Below are 17,811 nucleotides of genomic sequence, written 5' to 3' on the forward strand. Positions count from 1 at the left end.
GTGCAGTGGCACGATCTCAGCTCACTGCAACCTCCACCTCCCAGGTTCAAGTGATTCTCCTGCCTCAGCCTCCCAAGTCACCATGCCCGGCTAGGCTAGTTTTTATATTTGTAGTAGAGATGGGGTTTCACCATGTTGACCAGGATGGTCTCAATCTCTTGACCTCGTGATCCACCCGCTTCGGCCTCCCAAAGTGCTGGGATTACAGGCGTGTGCCACAGTGCCCGGCCAAACCTCTTTTATTTATAAATTACCCAGTCTCAGGTATTTCTTCTATAGCAATGTGAGAACAGACTAATACAAGCCATGAAATAAAAACAGGATGCTATAAATGACATAAGATTTAAGGGAGATAAGAAAACAAAAAGCAAAAATGAGCTCTTAGAAATTACAAATATGATAGCAAAGAAAATAAGAACAAAAACAATACAACAACAAAGAGATTAGATGATAGAGTCAAGGAAATTCCCCAGAAAGAGAGAGCACAGATAAAATGAAGCATAGGGGATTTTCAAATAAATCAGAAGAAACAATTCCCAGGACAGCAGGATATGTATTCTCAAGATTGAAAGAGGCCATTGAGAGAGAGAAAACATCCACACCAGGACATCTTATCAGGCCCCACTGCAACAGCAAAAGCAGAATGGAGTTTACAAAGGACCAAGAGGAAGAATGGCATTACCTGTTCTAGCCATGGCACATGCCTGGAGGCTGGAGACTTATACCTTCAAAATGTTGACAAAAAATAATTTTCAAACTTTAATTTTGTATCTAACCATTACTATTGGTTTCATGTATAATTGATACATTTGTATAAATAAAAGGACTTTAAAAATGTGCTTCTAGGCACCCTTTCTTGATAAGCTACTAGCAAGTGCACTCAGCAACATAAAGAAAAAAATAATGAGATTTAGGATCCAAGAAACAGGAAATCCCATCCAGATGAGAGGTGCCAGGTCCACTGCTGTGCAGTAGACAGCAAACAGTTTACATTAAAGCAGGAAGTTGAAGGACTACAAGAGGGATGCCTTCAAAGGAAAAAGAATTAGAATCCTATATTGTGTTTGAAAATATTTGAGCATTTGGACAAAATTTATAGACATTTGACAAATCTTTTAGGGGAAAAAACAAATTTAGGGGAAAAACAAATAATGAAAAAGCTTGGTGACAAAAAATAAAAAGTTTAGAGGGAAAAAGCCATTATTACACAAAGGAAAAAGAAAAAGAAATATAAGAATACAAATGTAATTGCATACATTCTAGATTTGTAGTACCACATGCAAATAGTTAGAATAATGCCAAACTTAATTGGTTCAGTTTCTCTCAAGAGTGATACAACTGTGTTGGAAAGATTTCAGCCATGGAATAGCCTATACAATTGCACAAATTGTATAGGGTATGTATGGTACAGAGCTAAAAATTCTTAACTATTTTAACAAGAAAGAAATATTATAAAATTGGGAAAAAAACACAGTAAAATGCAATGTATTAAGATGGAAGATTATAGAAGAATAAACAGTTAAAAGTGATAATTTTTTACCAGAGATAGATAAATGACACTGATTAAAAATAAAAATTAATTTTAAACAAGCTAAATGGTAAAATTAAAAAAAAAACATAAAACAGTTTTTTCCTTCACTGAGGGAGTTCCTTTAATGTTAACAAAGAAACAGTTGGCTGCAGAATAAGATTTCATTTTAGGTTTTAAAAAAATTGATGCTCTTTGTCTTATTGTTATCACTTTTTTGTCTGTTGGATGGTGTTCAAATGGCCCTAGAATAAGATGTGACATCTGTATTCATGATAAGATTCAGATATATGACTACAATGTTCTGTTCCTCCCACAGTTGACCCCATCATCATGAAGAGAATGAAACACAGAATGAAAGCTCTTCTCTGCATTCTTTACCCTTTCATTGTCCTCTTGGTTAATGGTTGCTTTGTTCCTGTGGGAGTGAAATAAAGACTCCCAGAATGCTGAGAATATTCAAAGACTTTCTCAGGAAGGGTCAACTCATGAAAGGAGTTGCTGCAATGTGAAAATTGAACACATTAATTCTGATAGGTAAACTTCAAAAAGAAAAATATTTGTGTTTCCAAAAGCCCTTCAGGTCCATATTTATAGCATTGCGTGTTACAGTAAAAGACTAAGGAAAATAACTGATTAAGATATGCTATATCCACACAGTGCTATACTTTGTAACACTGAAAATAATTAGAAATAGGTATACTTGCATGGAACGATGTCCAACACCTATTGTTAATCTAAAATCCCCAAACAAAACAAACCCAACAAGTTGCAGAACAATACGTATGTTATGCTCAATTCCTGCATGAACTTATTCTGAAACTATAATTTTGGTTTTAGACGTAGATTCTGAGACCAGAATCTTGGGATAGGGACTAAATTTTTAAATCATTTGTACTATTATATTATTTTCAATTTTTATAATGCATGGATAATAATTTTTTGAAAGTCAGTTACATATAACTAATACATTATATTAGTTCAAGCGATCAGCACTATTTTAGTTTGGGAACATTCACTCTAACTTCAATCCAGGAATTTGAAATAGCAACATTTGCCTCTAAGTAACTAAACATGGTAAATGCAAAGAACATGGGATTTGAGTCAGGAGTTCAAATCCCATTTGCCTGTGTAAAAGTTGGGTATATTCATTCCTCTTTTTAAATTTTAGTCTCAGTTATGTAATCTATAAAATGGGAATAATGAAGATCTTTTCTCCTCCCTCAAAGTGTAGTGTGATGAACAAATAAGATCAGGTAGCAGAAAAGACCTTGTGCACTGAGAAGTACCATAGAATGGTTTATTATTTTGTAGAAAACTGGCTTTACCAACTTAATGTACTTCATATTTAGCATTAATATTAACAATAACTAAAAAAATTACTAACATCTTTGACCACTTATTATTTCACATGCTTTTCTAAGAGCTTTGCAAGTACGAACTCATTTTTCACAACAACAAATGTCTAAGTGTGTACTAGTGTTGTTCCTTTCATAGATGAAGATGCCCAGGTACAGAGAGGTTAAGTAACTCATCTAACATCACCCAGTTACAGTACTAGGTGATGGTGCTGGGACCCATTGCCACACAGTCTGCTAGGCTCTCTGCCAGTTGATAGGAGAGAGTCTCTAAATGCTCCTTTCAACTACTCTAAGAGTAGCTGAAAAATGGATGGAAACTTTCTGACAGACTGATGGGGACTTTCTGTGCTTTGTAGTGGCAGAAAGTTTTCTTTTGTTTTTTAAATTGTTAACTCAGGTTTTGCCTTTAATTTTTGTAAGTTTTCCAAAGTTTCTATTTTATTTTATTTTATTTTTATTTTATTTTATTATTATTATACTTTAAGTTTTAGGGTACATGTGCACAATGTGCAGGTTAGTTACATATGTATACATGTGCCATGCTGGTGTGCTGCACCCATTAACTCGTCATTTAGCATTAGATATATCTCCTAATGCTATCCCTCCCCCCTCCCCCCATCCCACAACAGTCCCTAGAGTGTGGTGTTCCCCTTCCTGTGTCCATGTGTTCTCAAAGTTTCTATTTTAATTCCTCTTTAAAATCATGCCTCCCCATGGCCACCAATGCACCTTAGAAGCCCTAGGAAGTAAATCACAAAATTACAAACGTCTAAGAAGAAAGTAGCTGAGTCTGAAGCTGCCAAGGTCTATTTTCATTCTGCGTCAGCTCCAGCAAATGCCTTTAGAATTGACTCACGCAAATTAACCTGAATCACAGAATCTCAACATTTCAGAGCTGGAAGGGACCAGTGTTCTTTCACAACTAGTCAATCAAGTGAAAAAGGTAATCTGCATCAAGAAAGAGCATAAAATTAGAAATGGAATTTTTAAAAAGCAGGTGAGATTCCCTAATACGAGTTTTGAGCTTGAGCATGGAGCCTTCAGGATGGTGAGGTGTTGGAGGGTACAACTATGGGAACGGGGCAACTTTCCTTCTTTCCTCCTCTATCTGCTTTTTGATTTGGCTCTGTGGCCTTGGAGTAATCATTTATTTTCTCTGAGATAGACTGTTCAAATCTGTAAAGTGAAATGAATGTAATAGATGACCTTTAAAACTCTTTGTCTTTCTATTATTTCCAATTAGTTTGTGTGTGTGTGTGCATGGGTTTGGGGGATGGTTAGAAATGGAAACGGAAACGGAAGAAGCTTTAGTTAGTTGGGAAGAAATGCTTTTATAATCTCTTCAGCCTGAAGTAGACTCACAAAAAAAGATGCTTCCTTATGTACTACCCAGTTCAAAAACAAAGAGGGGTGCAAGCTCACAGCTCATTCTTGAAATGATTCTATTCCTGAACTTCCCTGCCTACGTTTGTATGACATTTCATGTTTTTGCCACTTATAGGCATATGCACTTTAAAATGATATTCTGAGATGCTTCAGTGACTTCTAGTAGAAAAATGCAAATAAATGTAAATTTCTGTTATTATCAGCTTCATCAAAGCAAACAGGCAAAAGCAAGAACAATATTAGAGTTTGGTAAGAGTGTATATTTGAATGATTTCCCCAGAGGACTAGGGAAAATCTCATCTTGTTTGGTTTCCTATTGTAGAGGAGCATCAATTGTCTCTGGTGGAATTACCTGCATACACCACTTGTCAGTCCCACATTAACCCCCCCACTCTCACTTTTTTTCCCATAGACAAGCTACTCTTTTTATTTCTCAAATGTAATTTCAATAAATGATCGACTTGAATCAAGAGATTCAGGCATAAACAGGTGAGAGCAGGCATGAATAACACAATCGAGGACTGGGAGAATAATAGTTTCAGAAGATAGCATTTATATCATAGAAAAAAATAAAGGAGAACTCAGATTGCTAGTTCTCCAATTAGAATCAAATGAAAATAAGGAATCTTGGCACCTTCTACGGGATTTCCAGGCTGTACTACATCAGCTACCTTTGAATATAGTTTGGTATATTTTCTGACACTTTCATATATTTTCTGACAGATTTATTTTTATGTAAATCTAAATTTCTTTGAGGGTAGTGCCTTTGTATTTAATTCAGTATACTCAGAAGACCAGTACATTCCTGTGCAAAAGAAAAAAAAATTCTCTTAATAAACTAATGGTGATTGAGTGAGTGCTTATCTACAACACAATCAAAATTAGAAAGTCATTTGATAGCAGGCCAGTATATGTGACCAGTCTTGTTCTAAAGATATAATTATCTAGAAAAACACATCCTTTACTTTGCCGAAATGCAAAAAATCAATTAGATGAGAAAGCATGACTTCAAAAATGCATAAAAGACCACAAGATTCTTAAGTGCCTATTACTATAGAACAAAATGCCTAAAATAGAATAAAATCTTGGATTGAATTTCAAAATGCAATAGAATTTAGGAGCAATTGCATAACCAGATAGGAAGTTTTAGCATGAGTTTTCTAATTCTTCCTGTCAACAACCTTTGGAAGTTTTGAAATAGTGTCATTCTAATGCTGATTTGCATTAGTAATGGATTAGACTCCTCAAACCATTATAAAAAGATCACTGGACAGAAATGAAGAGCCTAGAATTATGACTTCAGTCTTGTAATACACTAACTTCTAAGTTAAATCTCATAGGTTCCTAGCACCAAAAGGAAAAGATCTGGGGGCTGAGTTTATTCCCTAGGGCAGTAGTTCTTGAGCTTAGAGGGTTTGTTAAAACTAGTTTATGGGCTCCACTTTCAGAGTTCCTGATTCAGTAGGTCAGGTCGGGGGCAGAGGTGAGATTTTGAATTTGTAATAGGTTCCCAGGTGATGCTAATGCTGCTGACATGAGAATCTCACTTTGAGAACCAGCACCTTAGGGCAAAAGACCAAATGGGAACCTGCTAGCCTACAAATTCTTCCACTGACTACCTCTCTTATTCTGTTGAATTTACACATTTCTCATGGGCTTGCCCAGTTTGCACAGCTAGGTTCTCTCTCAGGACTAGTTCTCTGTAGTAGGCCCCAGTGATAACAACAACCACAAGCCTGGCTTCTTTCTTCCACTCCTGATGAAGCCTCAAGTCTCCGGAGCCACCTTATGTTGCTCTCAACCTTTGTGGAATCAGTGCTCAAAATAAACTGTCAGACCTCAGCCAACAAAGACTGAGTGCTAAGCAGACGCTTCACACCATTCACGGGGTGGTGGGGCAGGGGGGCCTCCTGTGGAAGGCTCTTTGCTCTGACCTTCCTGCCTGGGGGGTGGATGGAGAGTAACAGGGCTTATTAGTTGTGTAACACGTTCACTTTCAGTGCCATTTCACCAATTTGCTCTTATGGGCTTTTGAAAAGCACATTTTCTCAAGCTCTCCGGGAAGAGAACAAGAAGTTTAATGGTGTCCAGCAGAGAAAAGGGTAAATCTTCGTAAAGGGGAAAATAAGAAAAGAATAGAAAAGAAAGGAACAATGTTTCCTGCAAGAAGAAACCTAGCTTGCCTGTTAAATAATTTAATCTAATCATTGAACCCATAACATATGTCTACAAAGACAAGGGTTTGTCAATGAATGCCTTGTGGATGCTCCTCTTTGGAAATGAAATGGAATAATTAAAGATAGACCCGCAGGCCTGGCTCCTGGCATCCCTCTCATCCTGTTCTCCCAGTTCCCTCCCAGATATCTTCCCTTCTCTAACCACCACCTTGGGTGGTATTTGCTAGAATCTTCACTACATTGAAAAAACTAATAACCATGATTTATGGTGACTCCAGACTCTGTTTCTTTAGTTTAGGGACTGCTGTAGCTCTGGAATTTATATGGCTACAAGCCCAAGCCTAGCTGTCTTGCTTTCTTCCTACTAGGGCATAAATAAAGCCTCTTCTTTAGCTGAGATTCTACTTCCCCAGACCCCAAATGTGCTGCTATATACTTTTTGACTCAATGCTTTAGTTTATGCTCTTCATCCTGTCTGAATGGTTTCTTTCTATCTTTCCCTCCCTCAAGTGTCATCATTTTTGTGAAGTCATGCTTGACTGCCTCTATCCAGAGATCTAGTGCTCTTTGCTAGATACTGAAGATGTGATGCCAGCAATATTTATTTGTCTGCAGTGTTCTTGAGAGGATTAGACTTGTTTCCTCCTTTTTTAAAGAGTCCTAAAGTGCAGTACGTTATCCCATACATCTTTTATGGTTTTACAAAGTGTCGTAGAGGCTGGGCGCAGTGGCTTATGCCTATAAACCCAGCACTTTGGGAGGCTGAGGCAGGTGGATCACCTGTGGTCGAGAGTTCAAGACCAGCCTGACCAACATGGAGAAACCCCCTACTAAAAATACAAAAAATTAACCAGGCGTGGTGGCACGCACCTGTAATCCCAGCTACTCGGGAGGTTCAGGCAGGAGAACCTCTTGAACCTGGGAGGTGGAGGTAGCGTTGAGCCGAGATCACGCCACTGTACTCCAGCCTGGGTAACAAGAGTGAAACTCTGTCTCAAAAAAAAAAGTTGCATAGAGTGTTTTTCTTTTGGTAGGTGCTTGATATACAATTGCACTTAGTTGATGTCTTGGAATCCATATTCCTATAATATGTCTGCCAAGGTATATGACACATATAAATGTTACAATAATAGCTACTCAACCTGATGCTTTATGTTAATATTTATTATCTCCTTAATACTTATTAGGCACCGGTTATCATCCTACTCTACTCACTTACCCTCTTATCTAAAACTTAAAAGAAAGAGGTCTAAAGAAGTTAGGTAAACAGCATAAAGTAACAGACCTACCAATTGGTGGAAGTGGGGTTACAACCTGGCGCATCTAACTTCAAAGACTGTTCCTTCCTACCGACTCCACTCCAGTCCTAAATTATTGGAGAAAGAGAGACATTAGAAAATATATAAGACTTGCCTAAAGTCACATTGCAAGCTACTTATTGAAGAGATAAATTTAAAATGAATTAATCATTATTCTTTTATATATTATATATAGATGATAAAAACTAGAAAATCACTCTCTCTAGCATTAGTGTTGGTTAATTCCAAAACAAAATGAGAGCCCAACATTTATTTTGGCATTTGTAGATTTTTTTCACCCGGAAACAAAGTCTATCGTATAAGACATACAAAGTGACGATAGTTTCGAACTTTTCAGTGGCTGATATAAATCTATTTTAAATGAGCAAGGATTTTTATAATGCCCAATGCTTTCCAGGTCTCCATGGGGAAAACTGCCGGAAACATCCTGCCTGATGCTCTCATGGGAGCCATGGCTTTATGTTTATGCATAAGAAATTCTTACAACTGCTTCAACTAATAACATTTTAATTTAATGCATTTCATATTTCCATATTTATTGTGCTCCAATCATGTTTTATGAGGAACGTGAATGTGGGAACCCGATGTAACTGATATTTAGTATGTATGTACAGTGTACTTTCCTCAAGAGGTTCCACTGCTGGCACAAATGTAAAATAAATACAAATAAATCCAACTCTTTGATAGGCCCAACCTAGCTGATCAAGTCATCCCCTTCCCTCCACTTCAGGATTTCTCTGCAGAAACAGACTGATTAGAACCAAATCCACTTGGAAAATGGAGTTTCCTTTTTCAAGCTTCCTAATCTGGCTTCTCAAAGCCATATTATCCTCCAAACAGAACCTGAAAGAAGTTCCATTTCTGTTTCTCTCCAGCCAATGAAGAAACCTTGGAAAAGGAAATGAGAAGGACAACATTGTTCTATCAGCCAATCTGTTCACCTTACAATTGATGTTAAGCAGAATCTGATATGCAAAGAGGAAGCTCAGCATCTTGTACTGCATCCAGGTAGGGACCATTAGAGAGACCGGAAGGAAAAGATGCTCAGGTTCCAGAGACTTTCAATGACTGAAGAGTGCACTAAGGTATCCCCCACTAAGGTAAATTGTCTGACTAGATTTCATTTTGCCATTAACGAAGACAATGGTGAGAAATGAATACCTCATGCCAATTAAACTGTAGTATGATGTTTTGTAGTCATTGCACATGTAATAACTTTATATACAATCTACATTGTGATTTTTTTTCTCCTTCAGAATTAAAATTTGTGTTTTTCATTTTCAGAATACAGATACTTTAAAAAGAAAAAAAAATCCACAAAATTATCTCTTCTTTCCCTTCATTGAAAATTCTTTCTTGTTATGATCCAAGGAGAAAGGGATAAGCGACTTTTTCAAGTTAAAATATATTTAAAATAATTTTTTAGACATTGAAAGCAAAACATTTAGAAGTTAAAACTGTTAACTTTAGACTAAAGTAAATGTAATTTGGAAGCAAGTGTAATGACCCCAATTAGCTATAACTGATATCTATATTAAAGATATCAGTATCAGTATCTTAAAGGTATCTGTCTTAAAGAGTAAACACTTCAAAAACAATATTTTTAGTTTATCAGAATCTTCCATATTTGAGACAGAATTAGATGATGCATGTGTAGCACGAATAAGAAGGAAAAGGATGACCATCTTCCAGTGGTTCCTATGATGAGACAAGAATAAATTTCAGTATCTAATTCCTTTAGGAGCCTCTTGGAGATTAGTTCATAATATAATCTTGACAGGGGCATTTTAGAAGAGAATAGCTGTTCTTCTGAAGTAGTCTGGAATGACCTAAGGAGAGTGCTAACCAAGGGTTCAATGACCTCCAAGATTTCTGCCAGTCCTGGGACTCTATTAATTTTCTTCCTTATCAGTATGCTCTTGTCAATCTATATTAACTCATCAGATCTTATGGTGGCATATTCTACATATCAAACAGAAGGAAGGAAAAAGAAAACAGAAACTAATGTAAATTGTCTGCTGTGTGCCAGGAACTCTGCTATTATATCTGTTTTATTTCCTCCAAATCTGTAAGCATCATCTTGTCATCAATATTTCATAGTTGAGGAACCTAAAGCTCTGAGAAGTTAAAAAACAAAGTTTGTAAGTGGCAGTGGTGGGACTGAAACCAAGAATGTCAGGCTCCATGCATTCTCTGCCTCAGAATACAATACTCAGAATGATAGTAGTTCAAGGGAGGTAAAAATTAAAGAAGGCAGGAGGAATGCCCCAGGATTTCATGGAGGGAGCAGAACTTCAGTTGAATGTGAGGAAAAAAATGTTATCCTGACAAACGAGAGGGTGGAGGGGGCAATCTAATAAGGGAAAGGATGTTTGCAAATATGTGCATGTGGAATGGTCTGGGGAAGCGAATAACCTAGTTTGCTTGGAGCAGAAACTCCACAGGGAAAATAAAATCAGAGAGAATTGAGACCAGAATGTGCTCATGTCATTCATTTTTGTGGGGTTCAGAATTACATCCTTCAAAGTCACTCATGTTTTTTTCTCAAGGTTGGTATCTGTGGAGGAAGTAAAATCTGTGCCCAGCCTGCTAGGCCAACATTGAATAAGGTCAGGAAGAAGGGTGTCCTGCAGTGGTAATATTCAGCTAAAACCTAAAGAAAACAAGGAATGCAGTGTATGCAAATGGGTTAACAAGGAAGGAAAGAAGCTGAACTAAGATTAAAGATAACAGGTGCAGAAACCAAGTGAGCTGGGGTGGGTGGGTGGACAGCACAAGGTAACAGTGGAGAGAAGGGCAGGAGCTGGCTCATATTCAGTCTTGTAGGCTGTGATAAGTAGTTTGATTTTGTATGGATTTACAGGGAACCAACTAAAGGTTTATAAGCTGGGGGAAAAATGGTCCACTCTGGATGTGTGGTGAGGGAAGGTGTGAAGTTCACTTTGGTCAACTGGATTAATCCAGTCCTGGGATTAGGTGTCCTCAATACAGATGGTGAAGTAGGTATGGAAAGAAATGTATAGGGTTTCAGGTATATCTTGAAGGCAGATTTGTCAGTGCTTGCTGATGAATTACATATTGTCAGTAAGGTAGATGAAGACATCAAGGAAGGGCTTCTGGCTTGAGTGATTCAAGGTGTCATTTTTTTTTTATTTTTGATAAAGATGGGGTCTTGCTTTGTTGCCCAGGTTGCTCTCAAACTCCGAACCTCAAGCAATCCTCCCACCTCAGGCTCCCAAAGTGCTGGAATTGCAGGTGTGAGCCACTGTGCATAGCCTAGGAGTTTGTTTTTTAATATAATATGTTGGGAAGTCTGTGAGTCATTACTAGTCATTAAGATATCCGGTAGATAAATACTTCTCAGACTAAAGTCTTCATAGATGATCTTGCTCTTAGATCAATAATAGGGCCACAGCATGAGTAGGATTGCCAGATAACATGCAGGATGTCCAGTTACATTTGAATTTAAGCAATGAATACTTTTTTGTATATAGGTATATCCCAATATTGTTTGAGATATAGTTTCACTAAAAAAATTACTAATTTAACTGGGTATTTCATGATACAAATCTTACTGGATGGAATACAAATTTAACTAGATATCTTATATTTTTATTTGTTAAATCTGGTAATGCTACATATAAGCTTCACTACTTTATCATCTTCTATTCCCCTGTCTAACTCTGATTCCAAGTCAGTCTTCTTATCTTTCCTTCTTTTCAGAAGAATAGAAGGCTTCTGTTCTCCTTGGCAAACCTGAGTCTATTAACTTTGCCACCTGCTCCAGGACCTTGTCACAGTTTTTGTTTTCCCTTTGAGATTGTCAGAGGCATTTTACAATGACCTATGTGTGTGTGTTTGTGTGTGTGTGTGTCTTTTGGCCCCTTTTTCCCTATATTGGTTGATATATATTTTAGATACTTCCTACTTTTGTCTTACTTTCATAGTCAAAATAATTTTATAATGCCTTATTCTCTACAACATATGAATATATATGTTTAAAGGTCCAAATGGGAGAATGATCCAATGTATCATTTCAGAAACAAAAGGCAACTGTCATATTGGGTAAAATTATTTACCATACATATAATATAAAAAGGATTAAGTTACAAAATTCGTACAATAATTCTACAAGCCAATAAGACAAAAAGCAAAACAAAAACACAGAGAAATCTAATACCAAATGGGGCAATTCGCAAAACTGCAAACCCAATTGGACAATAAACATGAAACATGACTAATTTTATAATAAAAGAAAAGGAAATTATACCAATATAAGATTTCACTCATCATTTGGCAAATATTAATTAGTTTAATATCAAATGTTGGCAAAACTATAGGAAAATACTACCTCATACTACACTGATAAATGTGTACAACCATTTGGAAATCAATATGTCATAAGCTAATACATTTGAAATGAGCAAACTCTTTATTCTAACAATCACTTTCAGGTATCTGTATCCAGGAGAAATAAATCACGCATGTGCACAAGGTAGCATGCATAAAGATGCTCACAGCAGCCTAAAATTCAGAAGCAACTTAATATTTATCAACAGGAAAATTATAAGATAAACAACAGAATATTGGAATAAAGAGCAGTTAAGTAAAATGAGGTAGGTTTATATCCTGATATGGATAGACATCTAAGTAGAAGCTGTTTCACTCCAAGTGTTCAGTAAAAAGAAGAAACATGCAGATTAATATGTAAAGATTATATCCTTTATATAAAATAAGCCAAATCCAAACAAACAGAACAAAATAAACATCTGAAATAAAATCGTGTGTTTTTGTAGATCTATATTGGATAAATGCAATTAAAAATAAAAGGTTTAAGACGGATGAGAAAAAGAAACTGAAGATAAAGGGATTAATCTAAGGTCCGTAAAACAGCAACTTTTTCACTTGTTTCCCCCATCTGTAATGCAGACAAAAATCAGGCAGCAGGCATTTACCTCCAGCAAAAACAGTTGACACTTTCTCAGTGAAAGTGAACAAATTGCCAGGTCCCTGGTGAAACCTTCACTCTTGAATTTGAGTGAACCTGAAGCCTGACAGATGGCTTCCTAGTTCTCTTACTGATCCACCTAAAGCAAAGTCTCATATTTGCTTACTTCACACAGAACTCCAGGTGAGAATTCCAAATGGAAATTAGTTTTAACACAAAAGTAGTGGACTTTTATTAATGATAGTTTTTTTAATAGTTGGTATTACCAGACATATGAGTAAAGCAGCAGAATGAGATAGAATGGCCAAAATTAAAAAATTGAAAATTGGCACCAGAGGAAATAGAGATAACTTAGACATCATAAAAGAAATTAGGGGAGGGTATATTAATGAATAAACTCAGAAATATTTTAAAAATTACATCTATAAAACAAAAACAAATGTTATGAAAAAGAAATAATCAAAAAACAAGAACATATTTTCAGAAAATGCAATAAAAATAATCAAAAAACAAGAACATATTTGCAGAAAATGCAATAAAAAGTAATCAAAAGACAAGAACATATTTGCAGAAAATCAAAAAACAAGAACATATTTGCAGAAATTTTAATTATAATTAAATTTACAATTATGTCTAAAATTAAAAACTGTGGAGCAAGCCTACAGAGAAAACAGTCCAGATTGGAAAGTAGTGATAGAATGCTCTGGTAGAGTAGCTTCCATTAATGGGTATGAGGTTGAGTAAATCTTTTTTGTTTTTGAGACAAAGTTTCGCTCTTGTTGCCCAGGCTGGAGTGCAATGGTGCAATCTCAGCTCACTGAAACCTCCACCTCCTGGGTTCAAGCAATTCTCCTGCCTAAGCCTTTTGAGTAGCTGGGATTACAGGCACCTGCCACCATGCCTGGCTAATTTTGTGTGTTTTTAGTAGAGACAGGGTTTCACCATATTGGTCAGGCTGGTCTCTAACTTGCGACCTCAGGTGATCCACCTGCCTCAACCTCCCAAAGTGCTGGGATTACAGGCGTGAGCCACTGTGCTCAGCCAGACTGAGTAAATTTATTTGATGAAGAATGTGGTGGGCATACTGAAATAATATTAATATTAATATTATTAAATAATAATAATATAATAATAATAATAATATTAAAATAACAATAAAAGGTTTTCTAGAAAATGCTAAATTCATAGAATGGGTACTGCAAGATTATGAACTCAGGTTTCAAGGTCCTGAAGTTTTGCTGCAGTGTGATGATAAGGGAAGTCTTTCTTTGATGTCATTCTTAGAAAACCCAATCTCTGGGTTCTAGGTTGTGAAGGCTTTGATTGCCCTTGGTCAGTGGATCATAAAAAGCTTTCATTATCTGGTGAAAATACACTTTGACATAATTCATTAGAGCCTTGCAGAATACAGTCATGTCAGAGTTTAGTAGCAGAAGATACATAAGGTTCTATTAACATATGCATAGGCCTTCCAGTGACTATTTTATAAGGGGCCAACTTATGTTTCCACTCTAAATGGATCTGATTGTCATCAATATGCAACACCTTTGACCAAGGCAATCCAGGCAATTCAGTTTGCTTTTCCTAATGCTATTGTATCTGTAATATCTTATTCAACAATTTTACAACTTGTCCAGTGAAACAAGTACCTCTATCATTGGAGATTTATCCAGGAATGTCCTATGAGGAAAACACATTTCTGTATAACCTTTTAGCTACTGTTATAACAACAGCCCTCTTGCTTGAGAAAGCTTCTATACAACCATAAAACATGCACTGGAAATGACAGTTGAGTGAAACTCCTCTATAAGTGTTCAAATGGCCTATCAGGTAGCAAAAATGTACCTGAAGTTTTGATTGAGACTTCCCAGGAATATGGGTTTGATAAACCAAACATTGGTCATAAACCATGTTAGCAATTTAGAACAGTCACCACACACACACACACACACACACACACACACACACACACCTATATATGTGTTTTATATATATATATATCCATCTCTCCTTTTCCCTGTTATTTTTTGGAGTTTACTCAAAAGGTGAGTAAAATTATTTTTACTGTTTCTTATTATATTACATAAAATTATTATTTAAAAGAGGAAACCAAATTTTACCTTTGTATTAGTGTATTATCAATACTAAAATAAATTTTAATAAACCTTATGAGTATATCCAATATCAGTCAGCTTTTGACTACACAAGATTTTCATAAAGCTTTTAGAATCTTTTACAAATTTTTTTCCTTCTTTTCACAACTTTCTGTATTTAGTTTTATCTATATCTTTCTTCCTTCAACTTGAAACAATCTTTAACTTTTAAACAACACAAAGTTATTTTTTTCTCACTAAACACAAATTTTCATGCCTTTATGTTTCATCTCATCAAAAACATATTTTGTTTTTCTTTATACAGTCTATATATAGAACTGTTTCTTTTATATCTAGTCATTTTAATTACATAACCACAGTTTTAACTCTTATTAACCCCACTTTCTAATGAAAACCTAGGAAATAAATAATTTTCAAACTATTTTATATCAATATTTGTAGATAAAAACCATTTCATAATTTTTGTAGAAAGATGTTTTCTCAACTTGTAAACAAATCTAAATATATTTTTTCTATGCCATATGAAAATAAGATGCCAAATTATATAAACTTAAACTTATATTTAATAATTAATATTTCAGTGTTTTAACTTACTTAGAGATGACTCAGCCATTCTATGATTATCTCTTATTTTAATATAACATGACTTTAAGATATTATATTACTGAAAAGAATTTTGATCCTATGACAGAGGTACCCTCCCTAATGTCTTCCCCTGTTGTCCTGGGTCCCAAATACTCATGCGGTACCCAAGGATGGCTATGAAGGATATGATACATTTGGGTCCTGAATTGACATACCAGGTGTAGAGTTCAGGACAGAGAACAGAGCTATGAAGATAATGCCTGGAGGATCTAATTGCTGTCAGCCTGGCTAGGAAGCAAAGGTGAGACAAGGAGGATGGAATCATATTGTGCTTTCTTCTGCCTTGCAGCTGGTGGTCCAAGTGCTGAGGACATAAACCCAGTCCTCACCATGGCCATTTATTCAGACCCTAGAATCCAGAGGCCCCAAAACCAAAAACATAACCTCACAGACAAATCAAGGAAGTATCAAAAATATTACTGAGCAGCAGTTTTATTACCTTAAAACATGTATGAGAGACAGCATAATACTCTCTCACCCATAGACCCAGGCAAAAATGTCTGAATTATATGTAACTGGCAATTCCAAAGACATTCCTATTTTATTTTGAGAACAAGTTTAAAACTGGCTTTACTTACCAAATATTATCACATACACATAATCGTATAAAGCTATAAACATACAGACAGAAGCAGATCTTATTGATTTCATAGACAATTCTCCTTTACTGACATTCAAATAGATTTTCTTCTCTCCATTTAAAGTATCACCCTTCTAATTTACTGTTTCATTGCCCTAAGCAATTGTTAGCTGGGCAACTCTAAATTCGCATTTCTAAAGGGATGAGTCTTTGGTGAAACAAGATAGAAAATTTATATCTCAAAAGCACACAGCAGAGATTTCAGGCCAAATACTGTACAATGATTTGCTCAAACAAAGGAAAAAAGTTGTAGGTAAAAGTGCAATTAAGACAAGATGGACAGGAAGAGCACCTTAAGCAAAGGTAAGTCTTATGACATAAATTTAAACTAATTGTAAAAGGTTCTAATGATTCAGTTCTCCCTCTCTTTGTGGTGTACAAAGGCAGACACTCTTAAAACGGTGATTAAAAAATTTTATTTTTTACAAATGGTTTTCAAAGTAGCCAGCTAAATTCCATGAATATGTATTTGGAAGACTGATTTCATTAAATAGGTGGTCTTTTTTAACTTAGCTACTATTTCTTAGCTAAAATACTAAGTTCAGGGTAGATCCCATTAAGGAATAGGATGAAAAAGCATTCCCTATGCCAGGATTCAGCATGGATAGCTTTGAAAAAGAAGCAAGTCTACGTTAGCTGAGGGCCTACCTTTTACACATACTTTATCCAGCATAGCTTTCTTTTAACCTTTAAGGAGGGTAGTAACCAAGCCAAAAAGTTAGCACATTTAATTATTCTTATCACTTGGCTGCTTAAGCTTTTTATTTGCCATGTATATATATATATATATATATATATATATATATATATATATATATGTGTGTGTTATATATATATATATAACACATATATATATATAACAAAGAAATTGGCTGGGTGTAATGGCTCATGCTATAATCCCAGCCATTTGGGAGGCCAAGTCAGGGGGATCACTTCAGGCCAGGAGTTCAAGACCATCCTGGGTAACATAGCAAGACCCAATCCCCAGAAAAAACATTTTTTTTAAATAATGTCTTTTAAAAAAATCAATAAAAATATTGAAATCTTTATAGAAGTTTCTGCATATTAATAGGAATTCCTTGGTTAGCCTAATTTGGGAGCCCTCATTTTTAAATGCACTTTTTAAAATTCAATGTTGTTCATTTGGAACATTCCACTGAAATTTTAAATTATCTTTATTAATATTTTGCCATTTCTGTTACAGTTTGTTGCTTCAGGGCCTAATACTTGTACATGTAAAGACAGGCATAGCTGGAAGGTGGGGTACTCACTTCTTCAGAAATTAAGTGCCCTTTTTTTTTTTTTTTTTTTTGAGACAGAATCTCACACTGTCACCCAAGCTGGAGTCCAATGACACAATCTCAGCTCACTGCAACCTCCGCCTCCCGGGTTCTAATGATTCTCCTGCCTCAGCCTCTTGAGTAGCTGGGATTACGGGCATGCACCACCACGCCCAGCTAATTTTTTTTTTTTTTTTTTTTTGAGACGGAGTCTCACTTTGTCACCTAGGCTAGAGTGTAGTGGCGCGATCTGGACTCACTGCAAGCTCCACCTCCTGGGTTCACACCATTCTCCTGCCTCAGCCTCCTGAGTAGCTGGGACTACAGGCGCCCACCACCACGCCCGGCTAATTTTTTTGTATTTTTAGTAGAGACAGGGTTTCATCGCGTTAGCCAGGATGGTCTCGATCTCC

The 17,811-nt window shown here is 35.9% G+C and overlaps 1 long non-coding RNA gene across 1 annotated transcript in view; it reads left to right on the forward strand.

The window, feature by feature from the left end:
* Positions 1–17,811, forward strand: part of LOC107984266 (uncharacterized) — a 40,565-nt gene that overhangs the window by 10,567 nt on the left and 12,187 nt on the right. The window contains exon 2 of the long non-coding RNA XR_001747580.2: positions 8,647–8,779. This is a non-coding gene — a long non-coding RNA (uncharacterized LOC107984266). The remainder of the gene's footprint in view (positions 1–8,646; positions 8,780–17,811) is intronic.

This window comes from Homo sapiens, chromosome 10 (assembly GCF_000001405.40).
Source record: "Homo sapiens chromosome 10, GRCh38.p14 Primary Assembly".
In the NCBI taxonomy this organism is placed as follows: Eukaryota; Metazoa; Chordata; class Mammalia; order Primates; family Hominidae; genus Homo; species Homo sapiens.